This window comes from Homo sapiens, chromosome 7 (genome assembly GCF_000001405.40).
Source record: "Homo sapiens chromosome 7, GRCh38.p14 Primary Assembly".
In the NCBI taxonomy this organism is placed as follows: Eukaryota; Metazoa; Chordata; class Mammalia; order Primates; family Hominidae; genus Homo; species Homo sapiens.
The window spans coordinates 53,768,574-53,780,732 of NC_000007.14; the positions used below are offsets into that span (position 1 = coordinate 53,768,574).

General features: G+C 39.1%; 1 long non-coding RNA gene and 2 pseudogenes across 1 annotated transcript in view; 2 read left to right on the forward strand and 1 right to left on the reverse strand.

The window, feature by feature from the left end:
• Positions 1-12,159, reverse strand: part of LINC01446 (long intergenic non-protein coding RNA 1446) — a 156,423-nt gene that overhangs the window by 113,065 nt on the left and 31,199 nt on the right. The window contains exon 2 of the long non-coding RNA NR_038371.1: positions 11,373-11,465. This is a non-coding gene — a long non-coding RNA (long intergenic non-protein coding RNA 1446). The remainder of the gene's footprint in view (positions 1-11,372; positions 11,466-12,159) is intronic.
• Positions 7,563-7,751, forward strand: RNU2-29P (RNA, U2 small nuclear 29, pseudogene; annotated as a pseudogene).
• Positions 11,176-11,690, forward strand: RAC1P9 (Rac family small GTPase 1 pseudogene 9; annotated as a pseudogene).

Sequence of the window (12,159 nt, forward strand, 5' to 3'; positions counted from 1 at the left end):
AGTATGTGCTCAACTCTTGCTCACTCCTGGTGCTAGCCACTTACCATCACTCAGCTCTGGGGCCTCTGAGGCATATTCTAGGAACGGTGGGTGCCACGATTAGGAACACGTCTTTGTACTACACAAGACACCTCTCTGCCTTGCAAACTACTTGACAGGCAGGGGCAGACCTTCACCACTCTGAGGGGGAATGAAGCTTTACAATTTCAGAAGGATTTTCTGTTTTCTGAGGAGCTACATTCTCTAGCTGCTTTTTAAGCCTCCATTCTCTGATGTGTGCAGATCACAGTACAGAGCTGGCAGCACTTTATTAGGAAAAACAAACACTTTTAGGTTTTATAGCTCTCCAATTTATGCAATCCAATGATATGGTAGCAAATTTAAAAATGCACAGTCCACAAAATGGTGTCTACCATATTTTCTTACTTTTTCTCAATTGCTTTAAGCTCACCAAATGCATCGTTTCTCACCAGATTTAGCAGCAGAATATACTTTGTGTTAGATTAAGTTTTCCAAAGAAATAATCACATGGTATTTATTATTCTCTGATTATGTAATAGATAATCAATTGAAGATAAAATATATAGTTTGAACTAGAAAGCTAGTGTTGACAGAAGTAATGCATGACAGTAAATATTCAAACTCAGTCCCACTTATATACTTAGGTTATTCACTGGTAAACATGACAGTTGGAAATGCTGCACTTAGCAAAAATTATTACAAGGTTATTGAACACTTAAAATATTATTTGAAGGTAAATGTAGTTTAAAAAAAGGACTGTGAAATCAAGAAGAATGTCTTAATCTACTTTACTTCCCATGTACACCTCCCATTGTGTCTTTTTTGTTTTGCAATGAGATGAAGTTGAACTGTGGCTCCCCCCCTGCTTCCCTGATCCAGGTTTTTCCTTTTCTCCCCAATACCAAACTTCTGTTGGAGAAATACTTACTGACAGCAGAATCCATATCTCAATCTCAGACATCTCCCTGAGGTACTGCCCTCAAATATTTAACTTGCTTGAAACTCCCACTACTTGACACCCAAACCTCACAGGAGCAAACAAAAAACCCTGATTTTACCCCAACACTCCCTCTTCTACCCCCTTACTTGCTCCAGCAGCAGCTTTTCCCAATTTCAGGCATAGAAATTTCATTCTTACTTGTTCATGCCTGCAACCTCAACCTCAATCTTGACTCGTCAGTTTGTCTTCTTCTCCAGATCCAAATGTAGGATATGCAGTTGCTTCTCTCATCAAAACAATATCCATAGTCTGACTATTTTCCCTACTCCACCTGGTCTGTGATCCTGGCTGCCACTACAGTTGTGGTCATCAATAACTCACCTGTATTACTGACAGCCTCCTAGGGATCTCCATTTCTTTCCCCTTTCCTACCTCTATCCACACACAGATTAGTCTCAAGTATTTTCAAACGTAAATCCAAATTATATCATTCTTGTATTAGTTTGTTTTCATGCTGCTGATAAAACACACCTGAGAATGGGGAATTTACAAAAGAAAGAGGTTTAATTACAGTTCCACATGGCTGGGGAAGCCTCACAATCATGGCAGAAGTCAAGGTGGAGCAAAATTCACATCTTACATGCATGGCAGCAGGCAAAGAGAGAATAAATGCCAAGCGAAACAAGTTTCTCCTTATCAAACCATCAGATCTCGAGGCTTATTCACTACCATGACAACGGTATGGGAAAGACTGGCTCCCGTAATTCAATCATCTCCCACTGGGTCCCTCTCACAACATGTGGGAATTAAGAGAGCTACAAGGTGAGATTTGGGTGGGGACACAGAGCCAAACCACATCAACGCTTTTTTCTTTTTATTGAGACAGGATCTCATTCTGTTGCCCAGACTGGAGTGTGGTGGTGATCTCAGCTCACTGCAGGCTCCACTTGCCAGAGCTCAAGTGATCCTCCCACCTCAGCATCCTGATTAGCTGGAACTATTTGCATGTGCCACCACGCCCATGCATTTTTGTATTTTTGGTAGAAACGAGGTTTCACCCTGTTGCACAGGCTGGTCTAAAACTCCTGGGCTCAAGTGATCTGCCTGTCTCGGCCTCCCATAGTGCTGGGATTCTAGGCATGAGCCACTGGACACAGCCATCACTCTTTTTTCAAATCCTGCAATAAATTTCCATTTGACTCAGAGCAGATGCCATATCCTTGCAATGGTTTGTGAAGCCACATGTCATCTGGACCTCATCAGCCCTCCAATGTCCTGTGCCATTCTCCTGGCAGCTCAGCTCTCCTCTGCCACCTCCCCTTCCTCATTATTCCTGGCAAGTGCCAGGCACACCTCCACTTACGGCTTTAGCACTGATGGTCCTGGCAGGAATGCACATTCCCCAGAGTATCTGTGCTTGCCCCTTCACCTTCTTCAAGTGTGTCATCTCCTCTCTGTGAGGCCCACCATCCCCACTTCATTTAAGATCTCAGTTGGCCTTCTCATCTCTCTTCCTTGCTCTGCACTTTTATTTTTCATTTTCGTGGCATTTATATTGTTCAAATATACCATGTAATATTTATTTTATTGTCTGTTGCTCATGTCCCTCTGCTAGAGAGTAAAACCCACAAGAGTAGAGATCTCCTTATGGAAGACAAGCCCCTTTCTAGCTGCTCAATCAACAAGTTCTTAATGAACACAAGTTCTTCTGGGCTTGGTGCTAATCAATGAGGATAAAAATGCAAATTAAACCCCATTGTCAGTGAGCCCACAAATTAATTTTTACTCATGTTTTAATACTCCTCCCTAAAAAAAAACTGGAAGAATTTAAAATATCATCTGCATATATGAGTAATGACAGGGCTTGTATGACCAGCTAAGGATTACATTTTGACTTACGGTCGCCATGCCTGGGAAAGAATGCCAAAGCAGGGCAGACACAGCTGCTGTCTCGAGAACCCTTTTGGGAGTATCCAGCGATGGTAGAAGTCACCGTGATCCCTAATCCTGGTATCTGTCTTGCTTGCAGTTTCTGTTTTTCACAGAGTACTTTTTTCAAAAATACCTGGTGGGCTAAAAAAGAAAGCAGCCTAATAGCGTTCATTTTGAGCAGCAATTCACTGTACCGACCAGAGCCAAAGCCAGAAAAAAAAAAACATGTCTATCTTTATCTTAAATCACACAGAAAACTTGAAGGGATAATGGAAATATATGTGAATAAAATGTTTGCCTTTCAAATGCTTTTTGCTAAAAGTAATTAGTGTTAAAAGTCCAGTGGTCTTTACATGATGGATTGCATTCTGTCAGGTCCTGTGACAAGACCCAGGTCAGGTCCCAACCTCAGGTGCGGTTAGAAAAAAGCCTGGTAGCAGGGCCTCCTCTCTCTCTCGGTCATCACTTCTGATTTTAAGTGCTTTACCCATGAAGGTGCTAATGGCCTGAACCAGGTTTCTGATTGACATATTGTTTTAATAGTGGGTTTAAATAGAATTACTTGTAAATGTATAACTGATATGTGGGGCAAGGGGCACAGTGACAGTTGTGACAACTCCTCCTGTTAATTTTACTGTGAGGCATCCACATTTCCAGGAGAAATACCAGAAATCAGATGACCATACTGTCAGTTAAAACTAGGTACCTTCAAAAACTTTTCCTTGTGGAAAATTGAAGTCAATTAGGGCCTCAAAGATATCTTGTTCAAATTTCGGTTAAAATATGTTTATCCAAACATGAAAATATCATGATGGCTTGCATATTTATATGTATCTATATCTATTTATCTATATCTATGTATGTATTTATATCTTTCTCTCTCATATGGATATCATAGGTATCATATCTATATCACATAGATAGCATATCTATATATCATAGATGTATCAGAGAGAGAGGGAGAGAGAGGGAGAGATGGAGATTTTTTCTGTAAGTTGATTTGAGTCTTTTCTGATAAACTGGCATGACTTCATTTGACCATTATGATTTTCTCAGGGAATGTATTTTTAACTAACAATTCTCAACAGCAAGAGTTCAGATATTTTACAACCTTATCAAGTTGGAAGTCAATCTATATAAACATGGATGTCATCCTAGTTTTACAGTCTGCTAGAGAAAATGACCTTAATAGCCAGAGTTTTAGTTCCCTGGAGAACAAGAACCAGTTTTGGAATTTAGATAGTAATGGCATTTCGGCATCCCTTGCCAGCCCCACTCCTTTAATTCTCTTTGAACTTTGTCTTTCTCATGATTAGTTCACAATGAGCTACATAAACCTTTGGCATGTGCTCACAAACGTATTTGTTTGCTTCTTGTAGTTCTGCTCTTCGCATCCACACCCCTTAGCATAGCCAGCTGATGGTAGAAAGCTCCCGGCTCTCCTGGGCTTGTAACCCTCCTGAGGAAACAATGTCAGTTTCCTTTTGTTTTTGGGACCCTCCAGCCAGTGCAAGGGAACCTAGCCTATCCTTGAGACCCTTTCGAGCAGAGGAGAGCCATCCTTCACCCTGGATCTCACACTTCACACCACCTTCCTTGAAATATCTGAGAATGCTCTCCTGCTTTCTAGCTTTCTTGATTGTATGCCAAATTTAATGATACGCATTTCTTCTTGTGCATAGAAGCTTAGAAAAACATTCTGATTTCCAAGTCCTATGCACACCCTCAATGATCTTTTTGCTTTCCCCCAAGAGCAAAGGACCCATTGTTTATAAACATCTGAGTGATTCCCATCCCTGGAAGCAGGAATCTTCAGGAGAAAGTAGGTGGAGGCCACAGTATACTTGTAAAAACTGCAGGAGAGGAATGTCTTTCCCAGCTTTAAAAATATTCCTGCAGTGGGGAAAATTAGTTACGATTATTTTGGAGCAGATATTATTCAAGATACCACGTTTAAGAAAAACAGCAAATAAAAGATCATAGATCTCTTTCTCATACTGACTGTATTCCAGCATGAGCCACAAACATGAAGTGAAAATGTCCAAATTCATTCCTAAGGGACACTCCGTGGCAAGTGCTACACCGGAAGTTGCCAGGAAAGAGAGTAAGAGTCCTTCCTTTGCCTGGTCTAAAGGGTGCTGGAGAGATTCTTTGAAACCCTGGAAATGAGATTTGAAGAATGAGTAGAGCATCACTGTTGAAAGAATGTTCATGGATGGCTTATTTCAGAGAATGAGGCAGTATTCTCCATTCCAAGAGGCTACCAAGTGCCTTATGGAAACAGGAGAATATCTTCTTCCCCCAAATGTCCCTCTCCAGCTACGAATCTATGCTTCACTGTTTACAACTGGTACCGTCAGAGGAAAAACCAAGATGCTTCAAAAAGACACTTTCTAAGGGCACACCTTCCTCCACAGGCATGAACACTGTTTGTTAGTGTGGATCTGTCTTGTTTTCTTCTGCTTGGGGTTTTAGGCAAGTAGTGTGAAGCTCTTGCTTGCTTTTCTCTCATTCTATGAAGTTAGAGTGAGGAACACCTCTTTAAAAGAAAGATTTTCAAGAGAATATACAAGGAAATTTAAATGGAAAGACAGATTAAAGTAAGTAATCAGCCCTTTTTTTTTTAAAGCACAGAAAGGGTAAAAATGAAATTAACAGCTTGAAAAAGAAATAAGCAAATTTAAAAATTTATTCTGTGCCTTTCCAATGCAGTTAAGCTTCTCATTGACTTCTTACAAAGTCGTTTCACACCAGCCTCCAAGATCGCCCTCCACTCATTCTCACCATAATGCAGAGACTGCAGGGATTTTACCATTTCCCTTCATATTAACAACCTGGCTGTTACACAGGCTGCTGGAGGCAGAGGAAAGAAGGCAGCTTTCTATGCATTTCTCACCTCTTCATTGACCAGCCTTCCTTTTGTTGGAATTAGTGATTACACAGGTCAGCACTAGTAAATTTTCTCTGCATGTAGATATGATAAACTCCACAAGTAACATAGTCAATGAGCAGATGTGAGGTTAGCTGCACAACTTTTGTAAAACTAAAAGGACATTGCTCATTCATATTTCCATACAATCCATCTTAAATGAAATTGAAAGATGAACCAGGCTGTGGAGGGATTAAGGCCTTAGTCACAATTTTGTGAATTCTAAAGAAAAAATCATCAAGAATTTACTTCTGCATAACTATTCATGTGCTACTCTTCGCAAACACTTCATTAAAAAATCCAATACTTTCAAGAAAGGTTGAACAAATCAAACCATTTTTACCTATGACCTCCTTCCCTTAAAAATCACCAAAACAAAAATACATCACTGTGAATATTTGTGTCCTTTTCAAAATTCATGTTGCAACTTAATCCCCAATGCAATGGTATTAAAAGTGAGGCCTTTAGAAGGTGATTAGCCCATGAAGGCTCTGCACTCAGGACAAGAGTAGTGCTCCCATAAAAGGGTGCGATGGAGCAAGTTTGGCACTTTTTGCACTCCAGCCTTGTGAGGACACAACATTCTCTCTTTCTGCCAGGTGATGATGCAGGAACAAGGCACCATCTGTGAAGCAGGGAGCTCTCATTGGACACCAGATCCGCTGGCACCTTGATCTTGAACTTCTCAGCCTCCAGAATTATAAGCAATAGATTTCTATTACTTATAATTTACCCAATCTAAGGAATTTTGTTACAGCGGTATGAATCAACTAAGACACTAATATATATATATATCTTCAATTAAATAAGGAAAGAGCCAAAAAAAGCACACTGTAAATAATGTACTTGATAGTGTAAACTTTGGCCTAAAATAAGGGAGGATGTTAGGAGTCATCATAGATCTCCCTAAATATCTAACAATATGAATATCTCTCCCAAACTTAGTTATATGATATGAATGAGCCAAATCAGAATGTCATTTATGAATAAAAGGGAAACAAAAGAATTTAAGCATGTCAACATAGATCTAGATGTGCACTACAGAATATCAGAGACTTGAACAATGACAGATGCACATTCAGCTATTGAGACACCCTACTTTTTCCCCCTGAAACTCAGATATTGTTGTTTTATTTTGTTTTGTTTCCCACAGAATCATCCTGAAGGTAAAAAAAGAAGCAGGAGAGAACAAAATTTAGAGTTAATTAGGCTATCACTGACCAGAGTCAGTTAGATAAACACAAATAAGCCTTTTCTGAAAAGAAAGAATTGGCATTCCAGCCTGAATTTTAGGTATGCAAACCTTTGGAGCAAAATATGCTGTATGTTAACATAGAGAATTTCCAAAAAGCAAAGGGGAATAAGTCCAACAATGGGCATAGATTAGAGCAAATTCATATTAAATTTCTTTTGAAATACTGAAGTTCATTTTTGTTCCAGTTCATTGTCTCGAATTCTTACCAAATGATTTTGGAGAGAATTGAATTGATAGAATTGATTATTAGAAAAATGAGTTGAAAACAAACTATTTAGAACCTACCTCTGTTTTTTATGCATAAAAAACAGTATCAGAATATAATGAATATAAGGCTAATGAAGAATGCATGTGTAAGACTTGCTTCAGCAAAGCTAAGGAATGTTAAGACAAAATTTCTCCTACCAAGTCTGAGGAGCAAGAGATTAAAGGATCTGAGGAGCAAGAGATTAAAGGATCTGAGGTGCAAGAGATTAAAGGAGAGAATCCCTTCTAGGTCTTTTGGCTAAGATCAAGTGTAGAATCTGCTTTTATCAGTTTAATATCTGGTACTTCCTCTATCCCAGGACAATATATTAAGTGGATTTTTGGAGCAGGGAGATGGTTGAAAATAATATACATATGCTTAATGTTGACCGTTTGATCCTGCTAATCAGATGTTCTGCATAAAACTGGTAATTGGGTAACAATTTTCCATAAATTGAAATGAGAAATGTTAGAAACACACAACCAGTTAACAGTAAGTGGCACAACAAAAACAGCAAAAGCCCACATCTAAGCAGCAAGCTGCCATGCTGGGGTGTAACAAGCTTTGCCTATGAGCTCCTTTTCACTTACCAACTAACACAGCTGTTGCCAGGTGCTTGTTTGCAATAACGTCTCTCCACTTACTGCTGTCCTTCCTTCTGGACAGTTTGCTTTAGCATTTGCTCTGCCTTTATGTAACTCAGTTTATAATACTGGGCAAAAACAAGGACTCTGTCAGAAAGTCAAAGTGGAAGCAGTTTTAGGACTAGTGCAGTAAACAGTAGAGAATGGCTCCTAATAAGTGGGCACAGCAAAGCCTCTCCTAGTGAAAGTCACTGTCCAAAAACATTTTCTATTTGCCTGCACTTGGTGCACACATGTTTTTCAGTATCTAGGTGAGATCGTGATGTTCCGTGAATCATATTCAGAATATCAATGTAAGTTTTCTGACATTTTTGCTTTTAGTTTGGTAAAACAACATAAAATTTAGAATCCTAACCATTTTCAAGTGTACAATTCAGTGACACCAAACACACTCACAATGCTGCACAATCACCACCACCATCCATCTCCAGAACACTTTCACATCCCAAACAAAAGCCCCCACCAAGGAATGATAACTCCCCTTTCCCCTTTCCCTTGGCCCCTGCAACCTCCATTCTGCTTCTGTCTCTAGGAATTCACCCAATCTAGGTGCTGATAGAAGGCAAACCATACAAAACAGACGCTTTTGTGCATAACTTATTTTACCCAGCACAATGTTCTCAAAATTCATCAGTATTGTAGCATGTATCAGAACATCACTACTTTTAAAAGGAAAAAGTATTCATTGCATGCATACACCACACTGCATCTATCCATCCAACTGTCTGCTGAAGGAAACCTGGGCAGCCTCCATCCTTTGGCTACTGTGAACAATGCTGCTATGAACACGAGTGTACACATGTTTGTGTGAATGCTTGTTTTCAATTCTTTCCACTGTACACCTAGAAGTGAAACCACTGGATTTCATAGCAATTCTATGTTTAAGTTTTTGAGAAAACACCAAATTGCAGCAGCTGCCCCATTTGACATTGCTACCAGCAATACAGCAGGATTCCAATTTCTCCACATCCCCACCAACACTGATTTTCTATATTTTTTAAGTAATAGTCATTCTAATAGATATGCAGTAGTCTTTTATTATGGTTTTGATCTCTATTTTTCTAATAACTAGTGATGTTGAACATATTTTTATGTATTTATTGTCATGTCTATTCAGTCTTTTGCTCACTTTTAAGTTGCGTTTTTTTTGTTGTTGTTGTTATTCTTGAGCTGTAGGAGTTCCATCTATAATCTAGATATTAATTCCATGTCATTTGTATATGGTTTACAAATATTTTCTCCTATTTGTGGAATGTCTTTTCACTCTTTTGATAGCATCCCATGATAACTAGAAGGGATTTTTTTTAAAAAAATTAGAAAGTCCAATTTAATTAATTTTTTATTTCAGTTTTAAGTGTCAAATCTAATTTAAAAAGACTGAATCAAATGTCATGAAGATTACCTCTCATATTATTTTCTAAGAGTTTTAGCATCTTAGATCTTAAACTTAAGTGTTTGATGCATTTGGAGTTAAATCTTGTATATGGTTGTAAAAGTTTGGGTTCCAGGTTTACTCTTTTGTATGACTACATGTGATTTTTGTATAAAATGCTTTGAAAAGTGTGTATTGCCTATAAGTCTCCCTATATCAACACTGGTTGAAAAGCATATTTATAGTTTCTAACATTCTATCATGTTTGAATTAAGAGTTCAGGAGGCATTCTGAGAAAATCAATAGCTTGGGAGATGTTCTGTGAAGCCCCCCTGTTACAAATGGTATTAATTTGATGGCAAGAGTATGTTTTATTCAAAATTACTTACATTGTTTCTTTTTTCTTTTTGCAAAGACTATGTTAGGTCACTAGGAACACCACAATACATTCCATAAAGTATGATGCAAGTGACACTTGTTTTACAACAGTGTAGTAATATTTTTTATAACTACAAAAATGGAAACAAAAATTTAGTCTGGGCATGGTGGCTCACGTCTATAATCCCAGCACTTCGGGAGGCTGAGGTGGGTGGATCTCTTGAAGTTTGGAGTTCAAGATCTGCCTGGCCAACATGGTGAAACCTCGTCTCTACTAAAAATACAAAAATTAGCCAGGCATGGTGATGTGCGCCTGTAATCCCAGCTACTTGGGAGGCAGAGGAGGGAGAATCGCTTGAACCCAGGAGGCAGAGGTTGCAGTGAGCCCAGATCACGTCATTGCACTCCAGCCTGGGTGACAGAGCGAGACTCTGTCTCAAAACAAAATAAAACAACAACAACAGGCAAACAACAACAACAAAAAATGAAAGTGCTTGGCAAATCACTGCCATCTTAATATTTTTGTTGCTTTGAAAAACAAAATCAATACCCCAAATGCAGCATATCTGGAAAATAATTAAGAAGAAAATAGTGCATATCAGGTTTTATAGCATGTAAGTTCCACCTGGTTCAGAGGACTCCTTCAACAGAAGATGCTTTACTATTCCCAGGATACAGCCAGGTCCTGCACAGTTGAGGCCAACATGTATTGAACCAGCAGCATCCCCAAGACAGCTGCTTGGCTCGGGATGTAAGGCTGCACTGGTCACACTTGACTGAGGCCCAGAGAGCAGACCAGAGCAGCCCGTGCCCATGGAGCTCAAGAACTGTGCAAGGAGAAGTCCGCACAAATAGGATGCCCACTGTCCCCCATTTCCACAGAGCAGTTGCCCTGGCACACAAAGAGGAGAGGGTCATTTATCAGAAGAGACAATCACTTGAAATAGGGTGAGTGAAGTGACTGATATGCCCTCCATATATCTGCCGGCCTTACGTTTCACCACCAAACTCCAATCGCATCTTCATTGCTTGTCAGAGTATGATCGGGACCACTTGTGTCAGGGTGACTCAGGATGCTTGGAAACCCCATTCCTGCATCCATGCAAGACCTACTGAGTCAACATTTCTTTTGGTAGATCTCAACAATCCATGTTGCTACAAGAGACCTGGACTTGAAAATTAAAGTTTGAGATTCCCAACTCTCTTTTTATTTATGTTTTGCATGCTTGAGATATCAAGGTTACCATGCAGTTATTAGTATAATTTTATGTTTTCAATAAGTTTCTCATTATTTATTTTCTAGGCATGCTTTTCAGTGTTCTAATATTCACAGCTATTTTCTTTATTTTCTCCATTTTTTTCTCCAGAATTCTGTATTGGCTGCTTCATGGCCTTTGCTTCTGGTCAACTCAGGGCTAAATGGTATGGCCAGTGGCCCCAGCAATCTACACCTGATGATGGAGACCACGAAGTGTGTGATCTTAGGAGGTAAAATTCTGTTGATGATCAGCAACAACTGATGTAGCTCCCAGAAAACATAGCCCTGCCATCTTTGACAACTATTCCTCCAAAGTTATAGTAGATGGTCTAGTGAAAATTAGCTTGTGGGATGCAAGGTGGACAAGAAGACTATCCTACCAAGTAGGTGTCTTACCTTGAGTCTTCCATGATTTGAAAGTGTCCATGTATTTCGCGGTGTTCTGATGTGTCACAACATTTCTTCAACACTCCTGTAATCCCAGGGGGACTAAATTCAGAGAGAGAAATAACAAAAACACAATTTAGAAACCAAAAGAGAAAATGCTGACTCCAATCATCTACCCACAGGGTTTAACCCTAGCTAAGAAATCAGTGTTATTAAATACCTGAATATTTGGCTTTCAGCCATGAAGTACTTGGCAGTGTTTGAGGAATTTCCTAGAGTAGTTCTACGTCCATCCTTGTCAAGAAGAAGAAGAAGCAATGTTTGTTGTCGAGTATGCCAGAGTCCTGAATCCTATCCACCAAATCAGTTTAGCCTTTTTTAGAGATGCTAGATCCTATGCCCTGACAAGCTTTGTTACAGACTTTTTTTCACTGAATTATTTTTAATCTCCTAGTAATTTTAAGATTATTTTGATAAAAGGGAAGAGTTCATACTTTCATATTCCATTAAAATTTGGTCCTAAAATGACAACCTTCATAAAGCCTTTTCAAAAGAAACTACTCTTAAGCAGATTGTAGGCCAAATATTTTCCAAATTTGCTTACCTTATTGTGCTGTGGGCACTAAACACTAAGCTGCTTAAAAGACCTTTGTCTTTAAAATGACATATCTTCTGAATTTAGGAAATTTTCTAAGTGATTTTCAGACCTATAAAAAGTACATTCTCTTGTCTAAACATGTCCCCAAAATGCCATAACTAAAAGACTCCAAGCTCATTCCAGGGCTGATGTGAAACT